The following is a 19,023-nucleotide window of genomic DNA, read 5'->3' as shown; positions in this document are numbered from 1 at the left end:
CCTCCAGACTCAGCCTGCTTCTTCTAATAATGGGGAAGTAATAGTTTGTAGCACTTACAAGTAAACAGCACAACAGAAGCCAATAATAATCCGTCTATTTCTCTAGCCCCTGGACTGATGAGTTTGCTGTATCAACCTGTAAGGAGAAGCTCTCTCCGGATGGCTATGGGAATGAAAGAATCCGACTTCTACTCTCACACAGCCACCGTGAAAGTCCTGGAGTAAAATGTGCTGTGTACAGAAGAGAGAGAAGGAAGCAGGCTGGCATGTTCACTGGGCTGGTGTTACGACAGAGAACCTGACAGTCACTGGCCAGTTATCACTTCAGATTACAAATCACACAGAGCATCTGCCTGTTTTCAATCACAAGAGAACAAAACCAAAATCTATAAAGATATTCTGAAAATATGACAGAATTTGACAAATAAAAGCATAAACGTGTCTCTGATCTTTGATATCCTGATAACATTTTACATGTACATGTACTTTGGATCTAGACATATATTTGAGCTAAATGCTCAGATAAAAATAAAGATCCTGTTTTCATGCAAATATTCTTAGTAAAAATAAAAGAAAAAAGGAAATAGAAACCACAGGTAATGTTCAAAGCTGAGCCTGATTTTCAACCATTAAACCAGGAGGAAATAAAGTTAAAAAAACACATGTATATATAGAAACCTAGATTCCTATGTATGTCTGCATATTATAAACACTTTTAAGATAAGTATACGGTTTCGAAAGACAACTACACAATCATAATTACTTTTAAAGAAAATGTGCATGCCCACAGGTCTATAAAGTTACTTCCTATTACCTGTGAAATGGTCTCTAAAGATATACACTATACATATAGCAAAACAGAATAATTGCTTTAAATCTAACTGAGGGCTGGACAAGGCAGCTCACACCTGTAATCTCGGCATTTTGAGAGGCCGAGGCAGGAGGATCATTTAAGGTCAGGAGTTTGAGACCAGCCTCGCCAACATGGTGAAACCCTGTCTCTACTAAAAATAAAAAATTAGCTGGGTGTGGTGGCAGGTACCTGTAATCTCAGCTACTCGGGAGGCTGAGGCAGGAGAATCACTTGAACCCGGGAGGCAGAGGTTGCAGTGAGCTGAGAACGTGCCACTGCTTTCCAACCTGGGCAACAGAGTGAGACTCTGCCTCAAAAAAAAAAAAAAAAAGAAAGAAAGAAAAAATAGTAATAATAGGGCTGGGCACAGTGGCTCACACCTGTAATCCCAGCACGTTGGGAGGCCAAGGCAGGTGGATCACCTGAGGTCGGGAGTTCAAGACCAGCCTGACCAACATGGAGAAACCCCGTCTCTACTAAAAATACAAAACTGGCCAGGCATGGTGGCCCATGCCTGTAATCCCAGCTACTTGGGAGGCTGAGGCAGGAGACTCACTTGAACCCAAGAGGCAGAGGATTTGTGATGAGCCGAGATTGAGCCGTTGCACTCCAGCCTGGGCAACAAGAGCGAAACTCCGTCTCAAAAAAAAAAAAAAAAAAAAAAAACCACGCACACACAAAAATTATCCAGGCATGGTGGCAGGCACCTGTAATCCCAGCTACTCAGTAGGCTGAGGCAGGAGAATCACTTGAATCTGGGAGGTGGAGGTTTCAGTGAGCCGAGATTGCGCCACTGCACGCCAGCCTGGGTGACAGAGCAAGACTCTGTCTCAAAAAAACCATAATCATAATTATAAAATAAATCTGACACATTTTTCCATAACTTTGAGAAAAATTTTCCAGAGCTTCACAAAATATATCAATGTCAAATACTTACAGTTTGTAATATGAATGCAGAAAATAGATGGATTAATCTGGTCAACAAGTTCAAATACTCTTTGAGGTGGGTTTGCTGTAAAATTCAATGAATAGATGACTGCTTTTTGACTACAAAACTGGCTGTCGCCCCTGAAAATTAAAAAAATAATAATACAAAGTTACAAGACATAAGCACACAATCTTAGCAAAATTATTTTAAAACTGTCAGATGCTTGTACTGTACTATGTTAACAGTTACGTGGAGGATATTTATGAAAGCATGACGTCCCAGCTACTTGGGAGGCTGAGGCGGGAGAATGGCATGAACCCAGGAGGCAGAGCTGGCAGTGAGCCAAGATCGCGCCACTGCACTCTAGCCTGGGCAACAGAGCAAGACTCTGTCTCACAAAAAAAAAAAGAAAGAAAGAAAGAAAAAAGAAAGCATATTAGAATTGAATCCGGCTGGGCACGGTGGCTCACACCTGTAATCCCAGCACTTTGGGAGGCCGAGGTAGGCGGATCACAAGGTCAGGAGATGGGGACCAGCCTGGCCAAGATGGTAAAACCCCATCTCCACTAAAAATACAAAAATTAGCTGGGCGTGGTGGTGGGTGCCTGTAATCCCAGCTACTAGGGAGGCTGAGGCACGAACATCGCTTGAACCCAAGAGGCAGAGGTTGCAGTGACCCGAGATCGCGCCACTGCACTCAAGCCTGGTGACAGAGTGAGACTCCATCTCAAAAAAAAAAAAAAAATTGAATCCTTTTTTTTGAGATGTAGCCTCACTCTCCCAGGCTGGAGTGCAGTGGCACGATCTCGGGTCACTGCAACCTCTGCCTCTTGGGTTCAGGTGATTCTCCTGCCTCAGCCTCCCGAGTAGCTGGGACTACAGGTGTGCACTGCCATGCCTGGCTAATTTTTGTATTTTTATTAGAGACAGGGTTTCACCATGTTGGCCAGGCTGGTCTCAAACTCCTTACCTCAGATGATCCACCTGCCTCAGCCTCCCAAAGTGCTGGGCATGAGTCACCACAGCTGGCTGAATCCATTTTTATTTAGTTTATTCTGTGTTGAAATATTTTGCATTTGGGCCAGTCACAGTAGCATGCACCTGTATTACCAACTACTCAGGAGGTTAAGATGCAAGGCTCACTTGAGGTTAGGAGTTCGAGGCCAGTCTGGCAACATAGTGAGATCCTCATCTCTTTTTAAAAAAGAAAAAGCTTGGCATTTAAAACTTTTTCCTCTAACAGAAAAAAACAAAATTGAGACAAGTAGAATAACCTTTAAGGAAATCTTGTCAAGAACGTAGATCAGGGTATAATTTTTATGTCAGTGAACTTTACAAACTCTGATAGCATCAATTAGATAAAATTTTGCAGACCTTCAGATTGTTTAAAAGTACCCAGAATAGATCCAAATTCCTTGTCTTTAGAATAAAGCTGTCTTCAAAGGACTGTGAGAGTAAGAAAATGTGGAGTCATCTGGAAGGTTTAATGCTTAGAAGTTATGGTACAGGGCCAGGCACAGTGGCTCATGCCTCTAATCCCAGCACTTTGGGAGGCCGAGGCGGGTGGATCACCTGAGATCAGTCGTCTGGAAGGTTTAGTGCTTACAAGTTATGGTACAGGACCAGGCACAGTGGATCATGCCTGTAATCCCAGCACTTTGGGAGGCCGAGGTGAGCGGATCACCTCAGGTCAGGCATTCAAGACCAGCCTGGCCAACATGGCGAAACCCTGTCTCTACTAAAAATACAAAAATAAATTAGCCAGGCGTGGTGGCATGTGCCTGTAGTTCCAGCTGCTGGGGAGACTGAGGCAGGAGTATTGCTTGAACCTGGGAGGTTGCAGTGAGCCAAGATCGTGCCACTGCACTCCAGCCTGGGCGACAGAGTGAGACTCTCTCTCCCAAAAAAAAAAAAAAAAGAAGTTATGAGTTAAGTCTTCAACCAATCCCAGATTTGACAAATCCCAATCAATTTGCTATAGATACAGATACAGGCCAAGCACCATGGCTCATGCCTGTAATCCCAGCATTTTGGGAGGCTGAGGAGGATCACTTGAGGCCAGGAGTTCAAGACCAGCCTGGGCAACACAGACCCCTATCTCTACAAAAAACAAAGAAAAAATTAGTCCGGCATGCTGGCAGATGCCTGTAGTACTAACTACTTGGGAGGCTGAGGTAGGAGGACTGCTTGAGCCCAGGAGCAAGGTTACAGTGAGCTATGATCGTGTCACTGCACTCCAGCCTGGGTGACAGAGCAAGACCTATCTCAAAAAAACATAGAGGCTGGGCACAGTGGCTCACGCCTACAATGCCAGTACTTTGGGAGGCCATGGCAGGAGGATCACTTGAAGCCAGGATTTCAAGACCAGCCTGGGCCACAAAGTGAGATTTTGTCTCTAAAAAAAAAAAAAAATAGACAGATAGCTGGACAGACAGATAATAGTATAGAGATAGTCATAATAAAAATGGGACCATATTCTACATACTGTTTTAAGGCTTTTCTCACTTAATATATAATGCCTAATATGCACTTACAATATTATAAGTGGCTTCATCATCGTATACCAGCCTATTAATACCCCAATTTGTTTAACCAATATAGATATGGATATGGTACAGCCCAAGCACCGTGGCTCATGCCTGTAATCCCAGCATTTTGGGAGGCTGGGGAGGATCACTTGAGGCCAGGAGTTCAAGACCAGCCTGGGCAACACAGACCCCGATCTCTACAGAAAACAAAGAAAAAATTAGCCCGGCATGCTGGCAGATGCTTATAGTTCTAACTACTTGGGAGGCTGAGGTAGGAGGACTGCTTGAGCCCAGGAGCAAGGTTACAGCGAGCTATGATCGTTGGTTTAGGTTTAGGTTTCTAATTTTCCCCAATTATATGTAATGCTATAATGACAACCTTATACATACATCTTTATGACTGTCTCCAGTTGTTTCCTTAGGATATGTTTCCTGAACTGGAACTGCTAAACCAAAAGGCAGGTAACATTATTTAAAGCTTCTGAGACACACTCCCAGATTGCCCTCTAGAAGGGCACAATATACATTCTCACCAACACTGTAGTAAGAGTGCCTATTTCCCTGTACCCTTGCCAAGACTGGATATTATCATTCCGTTTTTACTGGGCCTTAAAGGATAAGTAGAAATCAGACAGACAGTAGGAATGGGAAGCAAATCCAAGTGCAAGAACGGCAATGGCCAAGGCTGGGTAACGACTCATGGTCTTTGGGAAACTCTGAGTACCAAGGTTGGGCTGGAGTGGATTTGAGATGGCTGGTAGCAGGTGATAGGCTCTGAAAGAAGGTGGGAATGAATCTGAATCCAGGCTAAGAAGCCTATAGATAATGAGAACTTCTGAAGGTCTTTTAGTGAGTGCTTGACAGGATGAGGTGTGAGCTCATAAAGCAGGAGCAGGGATGGACGACCACGAGGGCTAGAGTGATGGAAGGCTCCACAGAATGGGATTCCTTACTCCCCTCCAGTCAGCCACCTCCCCAATCCTGTGCAGTATTTCAGTATCATCATCAGATCTAGATACTTCTCCCTAGCCCCACTGTCACAGCTTTTGGGGAGGATGGGGAGGGAAACCGTTAATCCGCATCTGCAATAGCTTTTTACTTGGTTCTCTGCCACCAGGCTTGGCCTTGTGATCCACTGCATATGATGCTGCAGAATTACATAAGATGGGAATCTGATCCTCTTACAACCCAGGCCCTGTGGACTTCAGGACAGAGTCCAAACCCCTTAGCATATACACAAGGCCCCTGGGGACCTGACCCCTGATCTCTTTCCTACACTCCTCTCACCCCACCCCTCTTCTGGCCACACTGAGTTACCTGCAGTTAAGCAGGCCATCCCACATCCCCCCATCTCTGTCCACGCAGTTCCCTCTGCCTGGAATGCCCTTCCCCTCAGTCCATGCTGACCATCTTCCACGTGTCCTTCAGGACCCAGCTCAGCTCCTGTTTTCTGGGGAGCATTCCTTAGTGGGGCTGAGTTAGATGCCATTCCTCTGCCTTCTCATCGTGCTTGATGTAGAAACTGCCATCCACTCCTCTGTCTCCCTTACTCGACGGTAAGCTCTTTGAAGGCAGGAGAGTGCCTAACTCATCTTTATGTCCCTGGTGCTGGCATTCAGGAGGTACTCAAGAAAGGTTGGGAGAAAGGAAAGACTGCTGAGACAGGAAAAGGAAAGGAAGAGGCAAGGGTCAGGGGAGCCTCCAGGTTTTTGGCCTGGTGTCGGCCTAAAAGACTAATGGTAGAGGAAGTCAACAAGGGACACTAGGAAATCAGTTAGAGGTGGAAGGGAGAAATTCATTCATCCATTCAACTCATTATTATTATTATTATTTTTTTTTATGGAGTTTCGCTCTTGTTGCCCGGGCTAGAGTGCAATGGTGCGATCTTGGCTCCTGCAACCTCTGCCTCCCAGGTTCAAGCGATTCTCCCACCTCAGCCCCCTGAGTAGCTGGGATTACAGGCACCCACCACCACGCCCAGCTGATTTTTGTATTTTTAGTAGACACGGGGTTTCACTATCTTGGCCAGGCTGGTCTCAAACTCCTGACCTCAAGTGATCTACATGCCTCAGCCTCCCAAAGTGCTGGGATTACAGGCGTGAGACACCATGCCCAGCCAATTCAACTCATTCTTAACGAGGGCCCACTATGTGGCAGGAGCTCTACTAGGTACTAATGGTTAAGGAGAAAAGAGATCTTCCAGGTTAGGCGCAGTGGCTCACGCCTGTAATCCCAGCACTTTGGGAGGCCGAGGTGGGCGGATCACGAGGTCAGAAGTTCAAGACCAGCCTGGCTAACACGGTGAAACCCTGTCTCTACTAAAAATACAAAAAATTAGCTGGGCATGGTGGCACACGCCTGTAGTCCCAGCTCGTTGGGAGGCTGAGGCAGGAAAATTGCTTGAAGCCAGCAGGCAGAGGTTGCAGTGAGCCGAGATGGAGGCACTGCACTCCAGCCTGGGCAACAGAGCAAGACTCTGTCTCAAAAAAAAAAAAAATAGCCCCAAGTTGGAGCAAAAATGTCACTTTCAGGCTCCTGTATTTACTAAAGGGAGGAAAACAGAATGACTTTCAACAAATACTGAAACATGCTACAGGCCAGGTAGCCAGAAAATTAATCTGACTACATTGCCCTGTTCTCTGAGCATTTTTACAATACTAGAAATAGGCTCAAAATCCCATTGGTCAATAAAATAGTTTCTCACAGGAAAAACCCATTGTACTTCTTAAAAGGGTTCACCTATCAAGTATCAATTGCTAAAACTTGCTATAAGGCTAAATTTAAATTAGCTATCTCTGAATACTAAGTTGGTCCCATCCTGAATTAATGAGCCTCTTCTAAGTGCTCCTAGTTTTTCAAAAAGCCTTGAAGCTGGGCGCGTTGGCTTACACCTGAAATCCCGGCACTTTGGGAGGCCAAGGAGGGCGGATCACCTGAGGTCAGGAGTTCGAGAGCAGCCTGACCAATATGGTGAAACCCCACCTCTACTAAAAATACGCCAGGCATCGTGGCGTGCACCTGTAGTCCCAGCTACTCAGGAGGCTGAGACAGGAGAATTGCTTGAAGCCAGGAGGCGGTGGTTGCAGTGAGCCACTATCACACCACTGCACTCCAGCCTGGGCAACAGAGCGAGACTCCATCTCATAAAAAAAAAAAAAAAAAAGAAGCCTTGAAACCTCAATTATAAGAGATCATTCAGAACAGATTATTTATTTACCTTATAATCAGCTGGAAATGTCATTTTTCATTGTTCTATACAATGCGAACTGTGAGAATTCCTGGTAGATTTACATATCAGAAAAGTACAGATTTCTTATCTAATTTTTTGTTACAAATACTATGTCCACAACAAAAGCTGTGAAATTAAAATGCACTTTTCACCCTAGGCTATACTAATTCACTGATACAAAAAATGTGACCACTGTCTACAACTCAAATTGAAATGTAATTCAATCTTCAAACACAGAGGTTTCATTACATTATTTTAATGTATATTCTCTCTTCTCTTTTGCCTGCACAGTCACCTGGCTGAATGCAAATAAGGGATAGCTACTTTTTTTTTTTTTGAGACTGAGTCTCGCTCTGTCACCCAGGCTAGAGTGCAGTAGCGCAATCTCCACTCACTGCAAGCTCTGCCTCCCGGGTTCACGCCATTCTCCTGCCTCAGCCTCCCGAGTAGCTGGGACCACAGGTGCCCGCCAACATGCCCGGCTAATTTTTTTGGATTTTTAGTAGAGACGGGGTTTCACCGTGTTAGCCAGAATGGTCCCAATCTCCTGACCTCGTGATCCACCCACCTCAGCCTCCCAAAGTGCTGGGATTACAGGCGTGAGCCACTGCGCCCTGCCAGGGATAGCTACTTTTTTACATATTTGTTTGGACGGTATGGCTTCAGAACGACGTAAAACACTGGAAATCAGGTTTGGGTTTTTAAGCCTGGGAAAGTTTTCCCTTTCTCCAAATTGTATTATCCTGGTCAAATTTTTTCAAAATTGCATGTGTCATACGTAAACTTACGTGACAACTGGAACTGAGCAGGCAGAAAAGACACTGAAATCCACGGAGCTGCAGTCGGGATCACAGCAGCAGTTGATGTCACACTGTGCTGGGGATAAGTCACAGACACAGAGAACAGCAACTGCAGAAAAAAGAGGGGTAGGATCCAGAACATCACCATCAGCAGGTGGTGACTGCCCCCTGCCACCACAGTGTACCATAAGTCAATTTCATAAAAAAGATCCATTTTATTTTTCCTATTGCACTTTGGGGGAAATTTGTGAAGTGGAAATGAGTCAGTTTGAGCATCCCACAATCAGAGGTTTCCCCAAAGTGGCTAATGATCTGACTCGCTTGGAAAGTTCTGTTAGTGCTTTGCCTACAGAGATGCTGATTTCGTAAGCTGAATATGAAACCCAGGCATTTGCAGTTTTCAGAAACTTTCCAGGTGATGCTTATAATTAGACAAGTTTAAGAACAAGCACCCCTAAACCATTTGCCTGACCATAAGAACCACCAGTTTAAAACTCCAAAGTCCTTAAGCCCCTCCTCTAGAGATTACGATTCAGAGGAAGGGCCCACTTAAACCTTCAGGAAAGAGACTTTTCAATCTTGCCCCCTCTTCACGTATAACCTGCTGCTTTAAAGCTGAACTCATATTCACAGACCCTTGGCCAAGAATCATACCGGCTCAGGTGCTCAGAATGTCTTTGGTGATTTAGACAATAAGGTATGAGGGCGGGGTAGGAATCTCCCCCACCTCACAACTTTTAATTATTTTATTTATTTATTTATTTTTTAAAGGAGTTTCGGCTCTTGTTGCCCAGGCTGGAGTGCAATGGTGCAATCTTGGCTCACTGCAACCTCCACCTCCTGGGTTCAAGCTATTCTCCTGCCTCAGCCTCCTGAGTAGCTGGGATTAAAGGCATGCACTACCACGCCCAACTTTTTTTTTTTTTTTGTATTTTTATTAGGGACGGGGTTTCACCATGTTGGCCAGGCTGGTCTCAAACTCCTGACCTCAAGTGATCTGCCAGCCTTAGCCACCCAAAGTGCTGGGATTACAGGTGTGAGCCACCACTCCTGGTCAACTTTTAATCATTAATAAGGATGATTTTTCTTTGCCGCTTTGCAACAAAGATGATTATCTGGATTTTTAATTCTCTATCTTATTCTGTCAAATAAGGACAAGAAAACCCTTTTAAAAAATAGAGAATGAATTTATAGTTGCAATTATTGCTGGAAGGGAAGAAGTAAGATCAACCTTCAATCTTATCTGTAACGTTTTCTTTTTCAAAAGAAGATTTCAAACCAGGCACGGTGGCTCACATCTGTAATTCCTGCACTTTGGGAGGCGGGCAGATCACTTGAGGTCAGGAGTTTGAGACTGCCCTGGCCAACATGGTTAAACCCTGTCTCTATTAAAAATACAAAAATTAGGCTGGGCGCGGTGGTTCATGCCTGTAATCCCAGCACTTTGGGAGGCCAAGGCAGGCGGATCACAAGGTCAGGAGATTGAGACCATCCTGGCTAACACGGTGAAACCCCGTCTCTACTAACAATATAAAAACTAGCTGGGTGTGGTGGCGGGCACCTGTAGTCCCAGCTACTGGGGAGGCTGAGGCGGGAGAATGGCGTGAACCCAGGAGGCGGGGTTTGCAGTGAGCCGAGATCGCGTCACTGCATTCCAGCCTGGGCGACAGAGCGAGACTCCATCTCAAAAAAAAAATTCAAAAATTAGCCAGGTATGGTGGTGGGCGCCTGTAATCCCAGCTACTCAGGGAGGCTGAGGCAGGAGAATCGTTTCAACCCAGAAGGCAGAGGTTGCAGTAAACTGAGATCACACCACTGCACTCCAGCCTGGATGACAGAGTGAGACTCCATCTCAAAAAAAAAAAAAAAAAGATCTCAAGCCAAAAAACAAAATTAACAAAAAAGGAATCTGAAGCAAATGCTGCTAGTGTCCACCCAACATTCTTATTTGTACGTATGAATTATTTCACGATAAAAAGGAGCTTTAGAAAAATGTACCCCACAGCGGCCGGATGCAGTGGCTCAAGCCTGTAATCCCAGCACTTTGGGAGGCTGAGGCAGGTGGATCACGAGGTCAGGAGGTCCAGACCAGCCTGGCCGACATGGTAAAACCCCGTCTCTACTGAAAATACAAAAATTAGTCGGGCATGGTGGCACACACCCGTAGTCCCAGCTACTCAGGAGGCTGAGGCAGAAGAATAGCCTGAACCCAGGAGGCAGAGTTTGCAGTGAGCCGATATCGTGCCACTGCACTCCAGCCTGGGTGACAGGGCAAGATTCCATCTCAAAAAAAAAAAAAGAAAGAAAAAGAGAAAAGAAAAATGTATCCCATAGCTCACGCCTGTATCCTAGCACTCTGGAAGGCTGAGAAGAGTGGATCCCCTGAGGTTAGGAGTTTGAGACCAGCCTGGCCAACGTGGTAAAACCCCATCTCTACTAAAAATACCAAAAAAATTAGCCAGGCATGGTGGCGCGCGGCTGTAATCCCAGCTACTTGGGAGGCTGAGGCAGGAGAATCGCTTGAACCTGGGAGGTGGAGGTTGCAGTGAGCTGAGACTGCGCCACTGCATTCCAGCCTGGGCAATTAAAAAAAAAAAAATAGTACCCCGTAAAAGGTATAATGCACTCTGCAAAAAAAATGTGTGAGGTGAAGGGGAAGGTTTTGTTAATATGCCATGATTTCTTAGTCTAAGACACAAAAGCTTTCCCCCTAAAGTTTACAGTGCTTCTCTCTAGTTGAGAACTCTTCTATGTGCCTAGTAAAATGACACAACTTATGCACGCTAATGTAAAAAATTAAAAGTGCTTTAGGTTCCCTGTATGTTTAAAATTACTATCTTGCTTTGTTTTCAAAACTTAAAGCCCTTATAGGCAGCTGTAAGACTACTAAGGACGAAGCAATAGTGTTTAATAACTCCACTTAGGAAAAAGGTTTCTACCCAGGATGCGAGTGTACTTAATCATCCACCAAGTAGCTGTTGAGCCCCTGTCAGGTCTAAGCAGCACTCAGCTGCCCTTGCCTCCTATCGCATCTGCACACCTGGCTTGTAGAGCAGGGTACTAATGAACAGAGCCCAGATTCAAGATGAAGGGTTATCACTCTTCTCCACCAACACTGCCTGAAGCCACCTGCAATTTTCCATCCAGTTCTCCACTCACAGTCAGCCTCCTGCTCCGATATCTACAAGTTGCGTGTCCTAAAATTAGGCAAATAATTTATCCACCTGAAAAATGGGGATAACAGTACCCTCATCATGGGGTTGTTGTAAGGATTAAATGAGATACATCATAGGTGAAATGCTTAGCACAGTGCCTGCCACACAGTGAACAGTTAACAAATGAGTTATTACTGTCACAAGTCTAAAGAGAGGTCCTTTAAAAAGGTGAAGACAGGTGACTGGCAGAGTGCAGTGGCTCAAGCCTGTAATCCTAACACTATGGGAGGCCTAGGTGGGCAATCACTTGAGGCCAGGAGTTCAAGACCAGCCTGGGCAACATGGTGAAACCCCGTCCCTACAAAAAATTAGCCGGGCGTGGTGGCATGCAGCACCTGTAGTTCCAGCTACCCGGGAGTCTGAGGTGGGAAGATCACCTGAGCCTAGGAGGTCGAGGCTGCAGTGAGCTGTGATCATGCCACTATACTCCAGCCTGAGTGACAGAGTGAGACCCTGTGACCAAAAAAAAAAAAAATAAAGTGTGAGGACAAGCACAAATTCATCCCCTATACTGGAAAAACAGCCTTGAACACATGCTATAATAATGATGTTTCAAGCATAGCTTTATTTTGGAGAGAAAATGCATTAACAGATGGAGTACTTACATGAATAAAAGACAATCCAGTCCAAAAACTTTAGAGTTTCAGGCATTGAATACTTGGCTTTCTTCTGTCCCAGTTTATCACTGATTTAACTTCCCTACTAATTCATCAAATCAACAATTTAAATATAAAACAGAGCTCTGTTTATATATTAAAATAGCAAATATATTTCTCTGTACTTTTTCTTTCAGATTACTCGTAATTCAGAAAGGAGAGCTTTTGGAGAAATAAAGGTTCAGTAACCGCAGTTAAGTCCTAGAGTTCAAGATCTCAGCTGATGACTTTTTTACTTACTAATACTGAGCCTTAATCAATTTGAGAAAAGATCTTCTTAAGAAGGGATAGGCTGGGCACAGTTGTTTACACCTGTAATCCCAGCACTTTGGAAGGCCAAGGTGGGAGGATCACTTGAGCCCAGGAGTTTGAGATCAGCCTGAACAACATAGCGAGATCTCATCTCTACTAAAAATAAAAAAATAAAAAAAGCAAGCTGGGGGAGCACGCCTGTGGTTCCAGCTACTCTGGAGGCTGAGGCAGAAGGATCCCTTGAGCCCAGCAGATTGAGACTTAAGTGAGATATAATCACGCCACTGCACTCCAGCCTGGGTAACAGAGCGAGACCTTGTCTCAAAAACAAAAAAAGAATAAAAAAAGATTAAAAGTACTGCATATCTATTGGGGTTACTCTCAATTCACACAATCGGAAAATTTTAAAAACTTTTTTTGAGATCATGAACCACTTTAAGAATCGGCTGCTATGAACTCTCATCTCAGGAAAAGGCATATTCACAAAGTTTTGCACTCAATCTTAGCGGGTCACAGTCATTCAGTGAAGTCATCCATGTCAATTTTTTTTTTTGAGACAGTCTTGCTCTGTCGCCCAGTCTGGAGTGCAGTGGTAATTACTGCAACCTCTGCCTCCTGGGTTCAAGCGAGTCTCCTGCCTCAGCCTCCCGAGTAGCTAGGATTACACCATGCCCGGCTATTTTTTCTATTTTTAGTAGAGACTGGGTTTCGCCATTTTGACCAGACTGATCTTGAACTCCTACCTCAAGCAATCCACCCGAGTTGACCTCCCAAAGTGCTGGGATTACAGGCGTGAGCCACGGCGCCAGCCAAACGTCAAATTAGATTATAAAATATTTCCACTAAATGTGTAATTCTAGAATTAATCATTTTCTGAAAAAAATGTTAATTATCCCTACATATGACTCCTAAGAAGTGAGCATAACCCCTCCCTCAATAGCTTTCCACCTCCAATTCAACACAGGAGGAATCCTGGGTTTTTAGAATTCAGGTCAACAGAGAAGGGTCTTAACATAGTCACATTTAGTAAGATAGACCTTTGGCCTCTCTTTAAGTGAAAGTTCAGTGCAGCCAAGGCACTAATTTCCACCATTGTCTCGACTTAATTTCGTCTTGGGCTGCAAGAATTCATTATTGCTCTTTGCATCACTGTTGTCTGGGACCACTTCAAGTATTTTCAAAGGTTTGATACCGTTCCACTTAAACTCTGAGACCCGGTTTTCTCATTTACCTGACAGTGATAGTAACAGCTACTTCTCAGGGTTATTGTTTAGAGAATGGACGTTTATGGAACACTCAGCAGTGTCTGCACACAGTAAGTGCTCAATAAGAGTTAGCTATCATTATTACGTCCTCACCGGGGCTGTCCCCTTGAGGTTGGATCACTGTGGACTCCAGGAGCTGGCACATGGTACCCACCGTCCGTGACTGGGGTAGGCCTGGGGCCGGAGGAGGGCCCTGGAGCCCTGGGAGTCCCGGGGGGCCTGGTCGACGGGAAAGTTCCGAAGGTGGCCAGGGCTGCCTCGGTGGAGTTGAGGCCCTCTGTCGTCACCGCCGGGGTGGCATCGGTCTGGGCGCTCACGGAGGCCCAGCAGCCCAGGAGCACCACCAGGAGCGGCGGGAGACCTCGCGGCCTCATCTCCCAGGGAGTCCCAGCGAGGCCCGCGACATGGACAGCGCGTTGCCCGGCAACCGCGACAGCCAGGCGCGGGGCATCACGGGAAGGGGCTTGCGAAGCCGCGAGAAGCTGCCGGAGACTGACTGGGGCGAAGCCTGGATGAGGCAGGGGGCGGATCCCGGATGAGGCCGGAGGGCGGCGCCTGGGTGAGGCAGCGATGGCAGGCACAGGGGCGAGCACTAGTGAGCGGGTGTGAAGCTGGCGTAAACGAGGGGCGTGTAAATCCCGGCTGTGGTTTCCAACCGGTCCGCGGCGCTTGCTTAAAAAATGCAGATTTTCTGTAGTTCCAGCTACTCGGGAGGCTGAGGCAGAAGAATCGCTTGAACCCGGGAGGTGAAGGCTACAGAGAGCCGTGAGCGTGCCACTGCACTCCAGCCTGGGCGACAGTGTGACACTCTGTCTCAACCAAAAAAAAAAAAAAAAAAAAAAAAGACGGATTTCCAGGTACCACCTCAGGAGATCCTGAGTCAGTTAGTCTAGGGCAGGACCCAGGAATCAGTTTTTGGGGGATTTTTTTTGAGACAGGGTCTCACTCTGTCGCCCAGGCTGGAGTGCAGTAGCGCGATCTCGGCTCACTGCAGCCTCGACCTCTGGGACTCAAGCAATCCTCCCACTTCAGCCTCCTGAGTAGCTGGGAACTCAGGCGCGCGCCACCATACCCAGCTAATTTTTGTATTTTTTTTTTTTTTTTTTTTTTTTTGTAAAGACGAGGTCTCCCTCCGTCGCCCGGACTGGTATCGAACTCCTGGTTCAAGTGATCCACCTGCTCCAGCCTCCTGAGTCCTGAGTAGTTGGGATTACAGGCGTGAGCCACCACTCCCAGCCAGGAATAAATATTTTTAACAAATGTCCGGACGCAAGCAGATGAGTTGGACGGAAATTTAGGAAGCGCCGTCCCAACGCCACTAACGTGGGTGTTTGGAAGGAGCACAGGGATCTGTGAGATCACTGTCTCTGAATTTTCTCTATCCCAGACTCTGTCAACACTGGCTTCACCTTTTTATTTTAGCTGCATCTCACAAGGTTGCCAGATAACTTCTGTCTGCTGTATTGTGATAAAGGGGACAAATGAACACTTAATACCTTTTATTATTTTTTGTAGAGAGGGGGTCTCACTATGTTGATCAGGCTAGTCACAAACTCCTGGCCTCAAGTGATCCTCCCGCCTCAGCCTCCCAAAGAGCTAGGATTACAGGCATGAGCCACCACGCCAGGCCTAAGAACCTATTTAAAGACAAAAATCTTTTACAAAAATTAAGTAAAATAATTTAGACATCTTAAAGGGGAAAACAAAGCAAATCCACTGTAATGCTACAAAACGACCTGGAGACCCTACGATTTAGGAAACCCTCTCCATTCTGAATGGGCTTATTTAGGAGGTACCCAAGCCCAAGAATGTTGGCTGCACCTTTGACACTTAATCTCCATACAGTTCAGAAGTAGATGTCGAAGTACTTAGACGTGGCCAGGCACAGTGGCTCACACCTGTACTCCCAGCCCTTTGGGAGGATCGCTTGAGTCCAGGAGTTGAGACCAGCCTGGGCAACATGGTGAAACCACATCTCTACAAAAAATACAAAAATTAGCCAGGTATGGTGGCACATTCCTGTAGTCCCAGCTACTCAGGAGGCTGAGGTGGAAGGATCGCCTCAGTCTGGAGAGCTTGAGGCTGCAGTAAGCCATGATAGTGCCACTGCACTCCAAAACAAAAAAACCTTAAACATAACACAGTATTTATTCAAGAAATGTATATACCAATTCAAAAGGATGTCAAACAGTATATATATCTAGTTTATTAAATGTATTTAGCAAAACTAAATCATCAAAGTGATATCTTTAGCACCTTCCTGTGGCATTCCAGAGACAGTGTATAAAAATATAATTGAATCACTCAAATGTGTAAGACAGATACTTCTTTTTTTCTGCAAAGGATTGCTTTAGCATCTGACTGAAATTCTGGACTGCTTTTAATAACTGATTAAATGCTTCCCCTTTTAAAAAAAATAACCAAAAGTAGGCCGGGCATGGTGGCTCACGCCTGTAATCCCAGCACTTTGGGAGGCTGAGGCGGGTGGATCACGAGGTCAAGAGATCAAGACCACCCTGGCCAACATGGTGAAACCCCGTCTTTACTAAAAATACAAAAATTAGCTGAGCATGGTGGTGGGCACCTGTAGTCCCAGCTACTCAGGAGGCTGAGGCGGGATAACTGCTTGAACCTGGGAGGCAGAGGTTGCAGTGAGTCGAGATCACACCGCTGCACTCCAGCCTGGTGACACAGCGAGACTCCGTCTCAAAAAAAAAAAAAAAGTATATTTTCCAAACCTTCATCTCATAACTTCTAAAACCAGGGCCTGTTTGTTTTCCTTTTTAAACCTCTTTACTTCCAGCCCTCTACTTTCTTTCCTATTCCTTAATACCTGTGAACCATTTTGTTCTATTTTCTGTTTTGAAATTTTAGACTGCTGGATTAAATTTTGATAACTCATCCTTTAGCTTTATAATTTTTTTTTTTTTTTGAGATGGAGTCTCACTCTGTCACCCAGGCTAGAGTGCAGTAGCAGGATCCCGGCTCAGTGCAACCTTTGCCTTCCAGGTTCAAGTGATTCTCCTGCCTCAGCCTCCCAAGTAGCTGGGATTATAGGCACCTGCCACCAAGCCCAGCCAATTTTTGTATTTTTAGTAGAGACGGGGTTTCACCATATTGGCCAGGCTGTTCTTGAACTCCTGACCTCAAGTGATCCGCCCACCTTGGCCTCCCAAAGTGCTGGGATTACAGGCGTAAGCCACCACTCCCATCCAGTTTTATAATTTTTGTTATGGTTATAGGACCTCTGAGGTCCTCTTCAAGTCTGATATCCCATTATTCCAACCAGGACCTGCTATGATATGATTTGCCAATTTCACCGCCTCTTTTGTCCAATCTCAAACAAACACGTGGTAGATGGCCCCAAAGTAATTTTATGATATTTGACTCTGAATGAGGATTGCACCTACCCAGATACAGTTTGCAAACATTAGGAACACTGGAACTTTTCATTTCACAGGTGACCCATTTCTGCCAGCCTGTTTTCATCTTTCAACCCAGAACACCCTTTCTCCCTTCCTTTTGTCCCTGGCCTTAGCAGGTTCCCTCATTAGGATGGAAGGACACAAGAGTGGCTAAGATCGAGCTCCATATTGTGCCCAAAACCTCAACATTTGGTTTGTGCATAAATGTTTGTGATTTCAAATATCCATCTGTTTCTCCAGGATTATTGGCATTCACAATTCCTTATAGTGTATGCTGACATTGGGAGGATCAAGACAATTCAGCTTTTTAGAATTCTGTGCTGAGAAGCTGCCATATATGAGAAGTCGCCATATATGAGAAGCCTGAAAGGAAAAAAAATCAAAGATAGGAGGAGTATGTAAGTAGGGAAAAAAAACTAAGGCTAACTTCACAAGGTAGTGTCAACCACTCTGTCTTGCTCTTTGGTGTGGTTTGAGGTGAATTGGTTATTATTGTTGTTGTTCTTGTTATTGCTGAAGTCATGGCTTCCAACCTGTTTAAAATTAATAAATTAGCTGGGCATGGTGGCACGTATCTGTGAACCCAGTTACTCTGGAGGCTGAGGTGGGAGGATCGCTTGAGGCCAGGACGTCAAGGGCTGCAGTGAGCCATGATCACACCACTGCAGTCTGGCCTAGGCAACAGAGTGAGACCCTGTCTCAAAAGAAAAAGTAGAAATTTTTTTCTAGTGATTAGTATATCTATTTTTATTAATCTCTCCCAAACATTTCACAAATGAGGTGGCAGAGTCACAAAGCTTCCTAAAGGGGTTGCTTTAGATCTACAAAGGGATCAAGACTGTGTGAAGACGGAGGATTGGCTGTACCATTTTGACTGAAGTAACTAGTCGGGTAATTGATTTCCAGATCAACGCCCAGAAGAAAATAATCCTCAACTGCTCTCATTCTCCCAGTCCCCACGTACCTCATCAACCACTGAGTACTATTCTTGTTCTTTTTTTTTTTTTTTTTTTTTTGAAATGGAGTCTTGCTCTGTCGCTCAGGCTAGTGTGCAGTGGAGCGGTCTCAGCTCACTGCAACCTCCACCTCCCAGGTTCAAGCAATTCTCCTGCCTCAGCCTCCCAAGTATCTGGGACCACAGGTGCCCGCCACCATGCCTGGCTAATTTTTGTATTTTTAGTAGGACGGGGTTTCACTATCTTGGCCAGGCTGGTCTTGAACCCCTGACCTAGTAACCCACCCGCCTCGGCCTCCCAAAGTGCTGGGATTACAGGCGTGAGCTACCGCGCCCAGCCTATTCTTGTTCTTTAAGTGTTTTCTGAAACATTACGGGGACAGAAGGACTATTTGAGCAGACTTCACATTCTTGAAAGGTCTCACATTTGCATTTGACCTTTTCTAAAAGAAAGTCATACATACAGTCACAGACATTCACCAACAGGAATGAAATAAGAATTCCTTGTTTACCATACAGTTGTTATTTTTTTTTCTTTTTGGGTTTCTTTTTTTTTTTTTTCTTTGAGATGGAGTCTCACTCTTTTGCCCAGGCTGGTGTGCAGTGGCCCAATCTCAGCTCACTGCAACCTCCACCTTCCCAGTTCAAGTGATTCTCCTGCCTCAGCCTCCCAAGTAGCTGGGATTACACATGCCTGCCACCTCACCTGGCTAATTTTTGTATTTTTAGTACAGACAGGGTTTCACCATGTTGACCAGGCTAGTCTCTAAACTCCTGACCTCTAGTGATCCACCCACCTCAGCTTCCCAAAGTGCTGGGATTACAGGCATGAGTCACCATACCCAGCTTACCATACAGTTTTAACCTTGCATCCTATTATTGAACCAGACTGCAGTTTGAATAAACTCGGCTTTCTA

At 45.3% G+C, this 19,023-nt stretch overlaps 1 protein-coding gene and 1 pseudogene across 31 annotated transcripts in view, besides 2 other annotated features; one reads left to right on the top strand and one right to left on the bottom strand.

Moving 5' to 3' along the window:
* Window positions 1-14,154, bottom strand: part of TCTN1 (tectonic family member 1) — a 35,302-nt gene extending 21,148 nt beyond the window's left edge. For 17 of the 31 annotated variants that reach the window (XM_011538733.4, NM_024549.6, XM_047429536.1 and 14 more), the window contains exons 1-3: window positions 13,881-14,154; window positions 8,327-8,447; window positions 1,791-1,921 (exon numbers count right to left, since the gene is read on the bottom strand). In XM_011538733.4, the coding sequence (XP_011537035.1) occupies window positions 1,791-1,921; window positions 8,327-8,447; window positions 13,881-14,100 (472 nt within the window). In that variant the 5' untranslated portion in view covers window positions 14,101-14,154. Of the gene's footprint in view, window positions 1-58; window positions 354-1,790; window positions 1,922-8,326; window positions 8,448-11,378; window positions 11,536-11,930; window positions 12,007-13,819 lie in introns of those variants that run through there. The other 14 variants (XM_006719594.4, NM_001173975.3, XM_017019964.2 and 11 more) reach the window with 9 other exon arrangements.
* RN7SL387P (RNA, 7SL, cytoplasmic 387, pseudogene) lies at window positions 2,366-2,638 on the top strand (annotated as a pseudogene).
* Window positions 8,531-8,750: an enhancer, noted in NCBI's record as "active region_7013". NCBI's record gives its function as "activates an Ori minimal core promoter by ATAC-STARR-seq in GM12878 lymphoblastoid cells {active_cell/tissue: GM12878}" and the evidence as "EXISTENCE:reporter gene assay evidence [ECO:0000049][PMID:35858748]".
* Window positions 13,828-13,877: an enhancer, noted in NCBI's record as "active region_7012". NCBI's record gives its function as "activates an Ori minimal core promoter by ATAC-STARR-seq in GM12878 lymphoblastoid cells {active_cell/tissue: GM12878}" and the evidence as "EXISTENCE:reporter gene assay evidence [ECO:0000049][PMID:35858748]".

This window comes from Homo sapiens, chromosome 12, assembly GCF_000001405.40.
Source record: "Homo sapiens chromosome 12, GRCh38.p14 Primary Assembly".
Lineage (NCBI taxonomy): Eukaryota > Metazoa > Chordata > Mammalia > Primates > Hominidae > Homo > Homo sapiens.
The sequence above is the reverse complement of the archived record's forward strand: the minus strand, read 5'-3'. Positions and strand labels throughout refer to the sequence as shown.